Source organism: Homo sapiens, chromosome 16 (genome assembly GCF_000001405.40).
Source record: "Homo sapiens chromosome 16, GRCh38.p14 Primary Assembly".
Taxonomy (NCBI): Eukaryota; Metazoa; Chordata; class Mammalia; order Primates; family Hominidae; genus Homo; species Homo sapiens.
The window spans coordinates 68,313,899-68,326,884 of NC_000016.10; the positions used below are offsets into that span (position 1 = coordinate 68,313,899).

A 12,986-nucleotide genomic window follows, 5' to 3' on the forward strand; every position below is an offset into this window, starting at 1 on the left:
AATAGCCACTGTGATCCAACCTGGACAGCAGGGAGATCCCATCTCTTAAAAACAATAAAAATGAAATAGAGCATATCAGAGGGCCTTGTTCGTAGGAAGTCAGTATTGTTTTGTGGAACATTTAGTTGTATGCGTACATGCAGGTATGTGTATTGAGTCTCATTTTAAAGTATATTTCTTACTGGGGTTATCAGAAAGTTTGAAAATCATTAGACTAGGGGATAGGTATGCTGAGATTTTAGTAGTAGAGTTTTACCTGGACAAATTGTCTACTTTGAACCTGACTGCCGGCCTGAGTTTGTTCAGGGAAGATTGTTTCTAATCTATTTGCTTTTTGTTTGTTTGTTTTGGTGACGGAGTCTTACTCTGTTGCCCAGGCTGGAGTGCAGTGGTGCGGTCTCAGCTCACTGCAACCTCCGCCTCCTGGATTCAAGTGATTCTCCTGCCTCAGCCTCCTGAGTAGCTGGGAATACAGACGTGCGCCACCATGTCTGGCTAATTTTTGTATTTTTAGTAGAGACGAGGGTTTCGCCATGTTGGCAAGGCTGGTCTTGAACTCCTGACCTCAGGTGATCCGCCTGCCTTGGCCTCCCAAAGTGCTGGGATTACAGGTGTGAGCCACCGTGCCCAGCCTGTTTCTCATCTATTTGTGTAAGAATTCCATGTTTACTTACTCTAGATAACTTCAAAAGAAAAAAAACTCTGGCCAATAAAATGCCATAGGAATGTTTAGGGATATGTGGAGTAGGCATTCTTTCTAAGTTTTCCTGAAGATGCACCAATGTTTAACAAGAAAGGAAGGGCAGTGTAGAACACCTATTGCTTTCTGCATGGTAAGAGGGATGGGTATTGGGAGAGCCCACACCTGCTGAGGAGTGCCTTTAGACTTTGAGCGGTGGTGTTTCTCTCCCTCCCAGAAATAGATCTCTTTGGGGAGACAGGCCATACAAGACGTGAATCTGGTGACATTTTACTTGTTTGAAGCAAAATTTTTTTAGATGATGGAGGGTTTTTAAAAATTGCTTTTAAAATTAAAATTTGAATAGATAAGAAGTAATCACTATAAAAAATAATGAAGCATAAGGAATGCTAGTATTAGCTGGGTGTGGGGCACTCACTTGTAGTCCCAACTACTGGAGAGGCTGAGGCAGGAAGAATGCTTGAGCCCAGGAGTTTGAGTCCAGCCTGGGCAACATAACGAGACCCCATCTTTTAAAAAAAAAAAAAAAGAAAAAGAATGCTAATATCGTGAACATTTATGTTCCCACCACCCAATTTAAGAAAAAGAACAATACTTTTGAAGTCCACTGCGTACCCCTCCTTGATCCCATCTCTTTCCCTTCTCTTTTAGGAGTTAACTATCCTGATTCCTTGCTATGCTTTTTAGTGTGATCCCTGAAGAACGTATCACTCCATTTTGCATAGCTATAAATTTCATAGAAATGGAATCGTATTGCATGTGTTGTGTGATTTGCTGTTTTTGCTCATCATTATATTCCTGGGATTATCCATTTTTAGGTTTATGTGTGACTGTAATTTATTGTTTAGATGAAAGTTTTCCTGGTTTGACTTGCTCTATCTTCATATTTTTCCTTAAGCTAAGGGTTCAGCATACGAAGGCAGTATTGGTGGCACTTCTTTAACAGTACCCCATCTCTTCTCCTAGCCTTGAGGGCTGCACCTAGATGAACTTGTGAGGCTCATTTGAACCTTTTGGAAGCACCGAAGCCTGCTGAAGTTTCCAGACATCTGTATGAATCTGTTGTAGTTTTTTAATGTTATATGCTGAATATAAAACCAAGTAACTCCTGCTGGAAACATTTACAATATCGATTAACAAATACTATCAGTGGCTTTGACATTTTTGTCAGTTTCTTGATTTTTTTCCCCGCTTTTGTCTCCCCTTCCCCCCTCCACATTTTGGGGCATTGTGCTGTTAATAGATTTTTTTTCTGTTCGTTTGTTTATATACCTCCTGTTTCCTTCTGATGTTAATAGATTTCTGACAGTCAGACTTGTCCACAAGAACTCAACTGGCAAGGCTGCTTTTCTGTGCTAAAACTGGGGAGCTAGTGGGCACCATGAAGATCTTCTGCAGTCGGGCCAATCCGACCACGGGGTCTGTGGAGTGGCTGGAGGAGGATGAACACTATGATTACCACCAGGAGATTGCAAGGTACTGGGTTGGTTTACAGCAGGCTGCAGCTGGGTGGGGCACTTGATCTCAAAGCAGATGCCTTGGGCTCCAGTCTGAGCGTGGGCTAGGCTGTCACCCAGTGCTTATGATGAGGGCTGGTGTTGGTCCTGAGCAGGTCTGCTCAGCCAGGTAGGTATATGTAGCAGTTAGGCAAAATCATGCCTGTTTGGAGAGTCAGACATTATGTAGCAGCCTTAGCAGAGCCTCAGCATCTGTTTAACGGAGCAAAGAAAACCCAAGCCTCAGTAGTGTTGATGAAGTTGAATCATTTACTTGCCTTACTGAAATGGTGACATGTTCATCATATGGTTAAATTCTTTTGAATGAAAAAAATGAAAATGGTTTTTTTTTTCCCTTAGAAGAAATATTTAAAAGTATGTGAGTTGTTGGCCAGGCGCAGTGGCTCACGCCTCTAATCCTAGCACTTTGGGAGGCCGAGGTGGCCAGATCACCTGAGGTCAGGAGTTCGAGACCAGCCTGACCAACATGGAGAAACCCCGTTTCTACTAAAAATACAAAATTAGCTGGGCATGGTGGCTCATGCCTGTAATCCCAGCTTACTTGAGAGGCTGAGGCAGGAGAATCACTTGAGCCTGGGAGGCAGAGGTTGTGTTGAGCCGAGATCGAGCCATTGCACTCCAGCCTGGGCAACAAGAGCGAAACTCTGTCTCAAAAAAAAAGTATGTGAGTTGTTATGTAGCAATCATTAAGTGCATTCAGTGTGCCAGCATTGTGCTAAGGCTGTGGATACCAGATGAAGAAGATCCTGTTCTCATCTTCAAGGACCATGCAGTTTTGTGGAAGAGACAGGCACATACAAAATTACAGCACAAAAGCCAGGCACGGTGGCTCATGCCCGTAATCCCAGCACTTTGGGAGGCAAAGGGCGGGCGGGCGGGCGGTGGAGGGGGTGGTGGCGGCTGATCACTTGAGGGTCAGGAGTTCGAGACCAGCCTGGCCAACACGGTGAAACCCCGTCTCTATAAAAAAAAATTAGCTGGGAGTGGTGGTGGGCGCCTGTAATCCCAGGTACTCGGGAGGCTGAGGCAGGAAAATCACTTGAACTCGGGAGGTGGAGGTTGCAGTGAGCCAAGGTTGTGCCACTGCACTCCAGCCTGGGTAACAGAGTGAGACTCTGTCTCAAAAAAAAAAAAAAAAAAATTACAGCACAGTGAGATAAAGGCACAAGAGGTCATGGAAGCAGCAAGAACCAGCTGAACTTGGGGTGGGAGGTAATGTTTGAATAATTTCTCAGTTCTAAAGGAAGAGAAGGTGAAGTTTGAGCAGCAGGGATTACAGGTAAGCTTTCAGATGAGCCAGATTGTGGCTGGGTGCAGTGGCCTACACCTGTAGTCCCAGCTACTTGGGAGGCCAAGGCAGGAGGATTGCTTATGCCCACGAGTTCAACATAGTAAAACACTGTCTCACAAACAAACAAAGACCAAAAACAGGCTGGGCACAGTGGCTCATGCCTGTAATCCCAGCACTTTGGGAGACCAAGGCGGGCGGATCACCTGAGGTCGGGAGTTCGAGACCAGCCTGACCAACATGGAGAAACCCTGTCTCTACTAAAAATACAAAATTAGCCAGGTGTGGTGGCGCATGCATGCCTGTAATCCCAGCTGCTCGGGAGGCTGAGGCAGGAGAATCACTTGAACCTGGGAGGCGGAGGTTGCCATGAGCCGAGATCGTGCCATTGCATTCCAGCCTGGGCAACAAGAGCTAAACTCTGTCTCAAAAAAAAAAAAAGAAAAAAAACCACACACACACAGATGGGCTATTCTGGGGAGCAGCTAGCAGTTTAGTGCAGCTGGAGTGTGGTACAAAAGTACTATGGTAAGAGAGGCTGCCGAAAGCATACGCGGGGTCATTTTGTAAAGGGTGGTAGCAAAATGCAGGAAGAGGAACATGAGTTTAAGTCCAAGCTTTGCCACTTCTTTACTCTCTTGGCCAAGTTACTTCTCTGAGCCTTAATATAAAATAATATATACTTCAATATAGTAATACATTATCTCACAGTATAATACAATTATCTTAGAATTGTTTGATGATTAAATGTAATACAGTATCTGGTGCAGAATTAGGGCTTAAAATATTTACTTTTTTTTCTTTTTTTTTTTTTGAGACAGAGTCTCGCTCTGTTTCCCAGGCTAAAGTGCAGTGGCACGATCTCTGCTCACTGCAAGCTCCGCCTCCTGGGTTCACGCCATTCTCCCGCCTCAGCCTCTTGAGTAGCTGGGACTACAGGTGCCCGCTGCCACGCCCGGCTAATTTTTTGTATTTTTAATAGAGACGGGGTTTCACCGTGTTAGCCAGGATGATCTTGATCTCCTGACCTTGTGATCCGCCCGCCTCGGCCTCCCAAAGAGCTGGGATTACAGGCGTGAGCCACTGCACCTGCCCAGGTCTTAAAATATTTCTAAACATTTTGGACATTATTTTCTTGTTTTATTGTTCAGATGGAGTCTTACTCTGTTGCCTTGGCTGGAGTGCAGTGGCGCAGTCTCGGCTCACTGCAATCTCTGCCTCCCAGGTTCAAGGGATTCTCTTGCCTCAGCCTCTTAGGTAACTGGGATTACAGGCATCTGCCACCACACCTGGCTAATATTTGTGTTTTTAGTAGAGACTTGGTTTCACCTGTTGGCCAGGCTGGTCTTGAACTTCTGACCTCAGGTGATCCACCTGCCTCTGCCTCCCAAAGTGCTGGGATTACAGGTGTGAGCCACAGTGTCAGGCCTGGACGTTATTTTCTGAGTGATATATTAAACAGGAGAGAAAGAGGATTGGATTGCATTTTGGAACACTCACTGAGAGCGGTGTGGAGAGGAGAGCATTTGGGGATATTGTAGTCCCAGAGCTGCATAGTCCCAGAGGAGACAGCTCGGGGGAACTTGAGTTTGGTAACTCACTGGATATGATGGAGGGAGAGAGAAGATTCAAGAAGCACCAAGACTTCTGGTTAGAATGACAAAGTGGATGGGGCCTGCAAGGGAGGAATGGGTGGTGTGGGGAGGGGAACACGATGGAGATTAGGCGTTTAGGTTTGGACATCCACATAGAGATGCCAATGGCAGATAGAATTTTGGGTCTGGAGACAGAATTTGTAGTTGTTGGAACTGAAACTGGGAGAGGTTGCAGTCTCTCAAGGGGGTGTGGAATGTGAAAGGTAGAGGGCTGAAGAAGGAATCCCGGAATAGCTGAGGAGGCAAAGAAGGGCAAGGGAGATAGCCAGCATGGAAAGGAAGAAAGAGGGAGTGTGTCTAGCAAGGTCAGAGGCACTGGGAAGTCCCAGATACTGATGACTGACATCAGCTGCAGGAGTGAGCTGGTGGTGGTTACCGAGAGTGATGTCAGTGGAGTGGTGGGCAGTAAGTGTGAAGAGGCCAGGAAGGTGGTGAGTGAGATGCCTTTTAAATAGTGAGCAGAGGTAGAAAGGACTACATTTCAGCTAAGCATCCATAGCTGGCTTCAGATATAAAACCTTGATGTGCCATTAAAAAAAAAAAAAAAAGAACCCCCTTCTTTCAGTGCACCGCTCTTCAAAGTGTGGAATGTGGACCACCTGTGGCACAATTGCCTGGAGCACATTAGCCCAGCCTTCTCAATAAGAGTGAGAGTGTGTGTGTGTGTGTGTGTGTGTGTGTGTTCTGGGACTCTGCATTTCAGGTAAGCTTTCTAGTGATTCTAGTGTTGACCCAAGGCTGGAGGGCCTCTGTTTTAATGTGAGCTCCTTAGCTGTCCCCTTGAATTCCCAGAAAGCGTGGCAGGGCCTGCCTAGTTCTGGGTGCTCATCCCGACCCCGCCTGAGGGTTTTCAGTGTGTGAATTACTGCAGTAGGAAATATGGAGAAGTGATTCTCCTCCCTTTACTACGGTATTGGTGAACTCTTTAGTTTTCCCTGATGATGTTAAGTGAACGTGCCCAGTGGGGTACCTGTCACATATACAGTGGGTGTATGTGAGTGCTTCTCTTTCCCCGGCTGCTCTCCCTAATACCGCATCAGTGGTTATCTCCAGGCAGAGATGTAGGCCAGGTTAGGTCAAGTATTAGGCAGATTGAGTCTGAGTTTTTCCTGAGGAGGAAAATGTGTAGTGTATAGCAAGATCAAGATGCTAGTGGCTGTGGAATTACTGTGACAGGGCTAACTGCCGAGACCAGCTCGGTCGTGGAGACCCTAACCCAGTGGCGCTAGAGGAATTAAAGACACACACACAGAAATATAGAGTGCAGAGTGGGAATTGGGGGGCTGACAGCCTTCAGAGCTGACAGCCACGAACAGAACTTTACCTACATATTTATTGACAGCAAGCCAGTGATAAGCATTGTTCCTATAGATTATAGATTAAAACGGGAAACAAAGGGATGGGCTCTGGCTAGTTATTTGCAGCAGGAACATGTCCTTAAGGCACAGATCACTCATGCTATTGTTTGTGGTTCAGGAACGCCTTAAGCGAAAGCCGCCCTGGGTGGGCCAGGTATTCCTTGCCCTCATTCCAGTAAACCCACGACCTTCAGTGTGGGCATCATAGCCATCAACGAGCATGTCACAGTGCTGCAGAGATTTGTTTATGACCAGTTTTGGGGCCTGTTTTTGGCCAGATTTGGGGGCCTGTTCCCAGCAGCTAACTACTGGAGCATTTTTAGGTCTGAGAACATCTTTCTCTGAGACTTTTTTCTGCAGCACTAGAGAATAACAGCTTGAAACTCTATTAAAATAAAGTGGCCAGGTGCAGCGACGGATGCTTGTATTGTAGTTCTGCTGAGGCAAGAGGATCTCTTGAGCTAAGGAGTTCAAGGCTGCAGTGCCCAATGATTGAGGCTGTTCATAGCCACTGCACTACAGCCTGGGTGACATAACGAGACCCTGTTTCTAAAAATAAACAAAAAAATAGGCCAGGCGCAGTAGCTCACACCTGTAATCCCAGCACTTTAGGAGGCCAAGGTGGGCGGATCAGTTGAGGTCAGGAGTTCGAGAACAGCCTGGCCAACATAGTGAAACCCCATCTCTAATGTAAATACAAAAATTAGCCAGGCGTGGTGGTGAGCACCTGTAATCCCAGCTACCTGGGAGGCTGAGGCATGAGAATCACTTGAACTTGGGAGGCAGAGGTTGCAGTGAGCTGAGATTGCACCACTGTACTCCAGCCTGGGTGATGGGGTGAGACCCTGTCTCAAAAAAAAAAAAATAAATAAAGATAAAAGACAACCAAAAAATAGTTTAAAATAGATGACACGTTTGTTCTATCTGTTTAGCAATGTGTTTATATATGTGAATACTCTTGTGTGTTGATGTGTATCATGCAAAGGTTACTGACTTTTTTGTTTTTTAGGTCATCTTATGCAGATATGCTACATGACAAAGACAGAGTAAGTGTAAAAGGAAACTATTATCTTGATGTGGGGTGTTTTGAAGTCTTGGATTACAAGAAGGTTAAGAATCCCTGGGGGTCATGATGTTAAATGATACTGAGAGGCGTATGGTGTAGAAGTCAGGAAATCAGTTGGGAGACTGGGTCCTACTTCTGGCTCTATTTTTGTTGTTTAATCTCCCAGCTTTATCAAGATAGAACTGACAAATAAAAATGGTCTATGTTTATGGTAATACAATGTGATGAATATATGTGTATGGTGTAAAATGATTGAATCAAGCTAATTAACAAATCTACCGCCTCATACTTTTTTGTGTGTGGTGAGAACATTTAAGATCTACTCGCTTAGTAATTTTTAAGTGTACATTATTAACTATAGCTCACAATGCCGTACAGCAGATCTCCACAACTTATTCATCCTATCTGACTGAAACATCAGATCCTCTCCCTTAGCAGGTACCATTCTCTGGGCTTCTGAGTTCAACATTTTTTTTTTTTTTTGAGACAGAATCTCGCTCTGTCACTCAGGCTAGAGTACAGGGGCGAGATCTCGGCTCACTGCAGCCTCAGTCTCCCGAGTTCAAGCGATTCTCCTGCCTCAACCTGCCTAAGTGTTGGGATTGTACCTAGTATTGGGATAATACTATTATTATACTATTATACCTAGTATTGGGATTATAACTTGGGATTACAGGTGCGTGCCATGACACCTGGCCTTCACTGTAGTTTTAATTTCCATTTTTAATTTTAATTTTATTTTTTTGAGACTGGGTCTCTGTTGCCCAGTGCAGTGGTGTGATCTCGGCTGCACTGCAGCCTAGACTTCTTGGGCTTAAGCGATCCCCCAACCTCAGCCTTCCCAGTAGCTGGGACTACAGGCATGCCACCATGCCTGGCTAATTTTTGTATGTTTTGTAGAGGCAGAGTTTCGCTGTATTGCCCAGGCTGGTCTTGATCCCCTGAGGTCAAGTGATCCACCCGCCTTGGTCTCCCAAAGTGCTGGGATTATGGGCATGAGCTACTGCGCCCGGCCATCGTGTGCTTGTTTACCATGTGTATATCTTTGTTCTAGTCTAGGGTTATGAACATAGGTGTGATTCTTGATAGACACTGCCACATTGCCTTCAAAAAGGGTTCCAGATTCACTGTAATATCTTCAAAACTGGGTCATTAAAAAGTGACAGCTAATTTAATGGCATCGTTAAAGTGAAGGCTGTGCCATCCCTGGTTTACAATTGAGGACGCTGTTCATCAATTTTTTTTAACTTAAAAAATAAATAAAACAAGGCCAGGCACGGTGGCTCATGCCTGTAATCCCAGCACTTTGGGAAGCCGAGGCAGGCAGATCACGGGGTCAGGAGATCGAGACCATCCTGGCTAACATGGTGAAACCCCGTCCCTACTAAAAATACAAAAAAAAGCCGAGCGTGGTGGCGGGCAGGGCCTGTAATCCCAGCTACTCAGGAGGCTGATGCGGGAGAATGGCGTGAATCTGGGAGGCGGAGCTTGCAGTGAGCCGAGATTGCACCACTGCACTCCAGCCTGGGCGACAGGGAGACTCCGTCTCAAAAAAAAAAATTGTGGTAAAAACACATAACATAAACGGTCATACTGATTGTATCTAAGACATAAATGCACTTACTTTGACAATGAAATAGTTCTATATTTCTGTGAAAAATTATTTCACCCAGACTAAACATTTTTGTGCTTTACCTCAGAGGCAACGTCATTTCTTTTTTTTCTTTTTTCTTTCTTTCTTTTTTTTTTTTTAACAAGAATGAGTCTCCCTCTGTTGCCAGGCTTTAGTGCAGTGGTGTGATCTTAGCTCACTGCAACCTCCACCTCCCGAGTTCAAGTGATTCTCCTGCCTTAGCCTCCCAAGTAGCTGGGGTTACAGGCATGCGCCACCATGCCTGGCTAATTTTTTGTATCTTTAGTAGAGATGGGGTTTCACCATGTTGGCCAGGTTGGTCTCCAACTCCTGACCTCAAGTGATCCACCCGCCTCAGCCTCCCAAAGTGCTGGGATTACAGATGTGAGTCACTGCACCCGGCCTGGTAATTCTAAAGAATATTCAGTTCTAGATATTTTCTAATTCCAGTCTGATTTAGTCTTTTGCCTATCAGTTTAGAAGTGTGTTTCTTAATGTATGAAAAATTTTTTTTCTTCAGTTGTGTTTCTGATATTAAGATTTTTGACTTGTTTTGCATTGTGGTCAGAGGATATCACCCTTTTGATGCCAGTTCTGTATTAGCTGTCTAATGTTATTTAACAAATTACCTTAAATTTTAATAGCCTCTTAATATTTCTTACTAACTTGGCAGGTCATCAGTCTATTTAAAAGATTTGCACATATTTTTTCCATCATCTTTAGTTATTTTCAACAGAAGGGTCACTGTGCCTATTGAGTCAGACCGTTATAGATGAAAGATGTATGTGTTTACTAAAGACAGAAGTAAAAATCTTCAAGATGCAAAGAAGTTATTTTCTGATGGGGAAAATACTTTTTAGTGAAGCTCTCTGAGTTAGAGTCGGTAAAGGAAAACAAGCCATACATATTGCAGCAGAGCGGCTTTAACACAAGGAGCTGGCTACCCAGCTGTGGGAGGGCTAGAAAGCAAATGGGAACGCTGAGTAACCTAACAGTAGAGATTGCAGGGAGCAGTTACCTTGCCTAGGGCTGAGAAACTAAACGAGAAGATTAGGATTTCCAGAAGCCACAAGCATTGAGGAGAGATCCTGTGGACCACTGTCCAAGTACGGCTGCAGCTCTGAGGGGCCCAAGGAGCTGGTTATGGGATCATTGGGAAAAGTTGGAGTCTGCAATCAACTGCCCCTACCGAGAGGACCCTGATGAGAACAGCAGCATGCAGAAAGGAGCAAGCCTGCTCTGTCCTCCTACCTTCCAGTCGCCCTCTTGGTCCCCCTTTTGGCTGTACCTAACAGTTGGAAAAAGGAGAACATGGTTTGCAGGGCTCTGGCATCACTTAGTAGAGGATAGAAGAGTGAGTGTGGAGCAGGGACAGTCGCTTAATAAAGGGCAAGGGGCTGACTCACAAGACCTGCCCAACTCAGCCAGAGCTGTTCTGCCAGGGGCCAGAAAGGCCATAGGGCCCTGACTTGCACTGCCACTGCCAGCTGTGACTCTAGAACTTTGCAAAGCACCTTTCCACTTACTTATAATAACTGGTAGTAAGTGACGGCCATGTCTTCCTTAGAATGTAAAATACTACCAAGGTATCCGGGCTGCCGTGAGCAGGGTGAAGGACAGAGGACAGAAGGCCTTGGTTCTCGACATTGGCACTGGCACGGGACTCTTGTCAATGATGGCGGTCACAGCAGGTGCCGACTTCTGCTATGCCATCGAGGTAAGCCATTCCCTTCAGGTGTGTGTCCTGCATCTTGCATGGGAAATCCCCTATGCTCTTGCACTTTCCCCGTCTGTTCCTTCACAAACATTCATGGAGTGCTCACTCTGTGCCAAGCACAGAGCCAGGCTCTGAGCGTATAGAGATGAGTCAGACACAGTTCCTTCCTCCAGGAGCTAATTTTCTCCTCTGTCAGCCTAGGCTGCACATCAGAATCACTAGGAGCTTTAGAAAATACTTACAGGCTGGGCACAGTGGCTCACGCCTGTAATCCCAGCACTTCGGGAGGGTGAGGCAAGACAATTGCTTGAGCCCAGGAGTTTGAGACCAGCCTGGGCAACATAGTGAGATCCCATCTCTACAGAAAAACTTTTAAATATTAGCTGGGCATGGTGGCATGTGCCTGTGTTCCAGCTATTCTTGAGGCTGAGATGGGAAGATCTCTTGAGCCCGGAAAGTCAAGGCTGCAGTGAGCCATGATTTGGACTTCATGTAAGAAAGCAAAAAATTACTTCTACCTTGTTTAAGCCAGTTATTGTGGGACTTTGTTGTTTCCAACTAATCAGTATATGAACTCAGTTTTGTAGGGGAAAGTATTTAAATACATGCCCCCACACCACCACACTCCAGCCTGGGTGACAGAGTGAGACTTTATCTCAAAAAAATCAAAACGAAACAAAGGCTGGGCACAGTGTCTCACCCCTGTAATCCCAGCACTTTGGGAGGCCGAGGCTTGGATCATGAGGTCAGGAGTTCAAGACCAGCCTGACCAACATGGTGAAACTCCATCTTTACTAAAAATACAAAAATTAGCCGGGTGTGGTGATGCGCGCCTGTAATCCCAGCTACTCAGGAGGCTGAGGCGAGAGAATCGCTTGAACCCAGGAGGCAGAGGTTACAGTGAGCCGAGATTGCGCCACTGCACTCCAGCCTGGGCGACAGAGTGAGACTCCATCTCAAAACAAAACAAAACAAAAAAACCTTATGCCTAGTCCCCAGCCCTAACAGATTTTGATTTAACTTTTCTGGGGTGAGGCCTGAGCCTTGGGACTTGGGAATGTGCGGCAAGGTTGAGAACCACTACCTTAAATGTCCCTATGGAGTCAGCTCTCTTATGTTTACCAATTTGTCATTTCTTTAATAAAACATTAAACAGCTTGAGCCCACAGAGCAAGAAAAATTAAAAACCAAACAAAATTAAAAATTAAACATGTTATTTTTCTCATAAAACAAATAATGCATATTATTATAGGAAATTTGGTAAATACCAAATAAAAATAGTATGTTGACCCAAAGTTAAGTACTGTTAACATTTTGGTGTATATTCTTCCAAGTTTTGGGGGCAGGCAGGGAGCATGTATATAAATACTTTCCCTACAAAATTGGGTTCATGTAGTGATTGAGTTGGAAATAACAAAGCCTCAAAATCACTGTGGTTTAAGGTAGAGTAGTTTTTTGCTATCTTTTTCGTGGCGTGATCTCTATTCACCGCAACCTCCGCCTCCTGGGTTCAAGCAATTCTCTTTTCTCAGCCTCCCAAATAGCTGGGATTACAGGTATGTACCACTGCACCTGGCTAATTTTTATATTTTTAGTAGAGATAGGGTTTCGCCATGTTGGCCAGGCTGGTCTTGAATTCCTGATCTCAGGGGATCCCCCCACCTCAGCCTCCCAAAGTGTTGGGATTACAGGTGTGAATCACTGCGCCCTGCCTTGTTCCTCTTTTTTAAAAGTAAGAATAACTTTCCCAGGAATTTCTATTATAGCAAACCTCTCCTTGGGTACCATCGGCTAGAATGAGGTTAAATCTCATTTCTTATCTCTGGCAAGAGGGATTCAGTTACTCTTAGCTCAGACAAGTGCACCACTGCAAAGGTCAGTTCCCCACGCTGCACCCTCACCTGATTTCAGGGGAGAGGAGGACACAGAATGGATGTCGGGAGGTCATCTTCAGTGTCCACTCCTGGTAGTGTTTTGGGTGAGATCTTGAGCTTCTTGATGGGCTGAGGAGAAGGAGGTGTGAAGGTACCAGCTTGCAGGTTCAGGGAGAGG

The 12,986-nt window shown here is 45.3% G+C and overlaps 1 protein-coding gene across 63 annotated transcripts in view; it reads left to right on the forward strand.

The window, feature by feature from the left end:
• The window catches only part of PRMT7 (protein arginine methyltransferase 7), a 49,852-nt gene that overhangs the window by 2,880 nt on the left and 33,986 nt on the right, over positions 1-12,986 (forward strand). For 46 of the 63 annotated variants that reach the window (XR_007064885.1, NR_165365.1, NR_147057.3 and 43 more), the window contains 3 exons: positions 1,999-2,176; positions 7,528-7,564; positions 10,785-10,934. Coding sequence is in view for 45 of the 63 variants with exons in the window: in XM_047434220.1 (XP_047290176.1) it covers positions 2,082-2,176; positions 7,528-7,564; positions 10,785-10,934 (282 nt within the window). In the remaining 18 variants the exon portion in view is untranslated. Of the gene's footprint in view, positions 1-1,998; positions 2,177-7,527; positions 7,565-10,784; positions 10,935-12,986 lie in introns of those variants that run through there. The other 17 variants (NR_165368.1, NR_165373.1, NR_165369.1 and 14 more) reach the window with 4 other exon arrangements.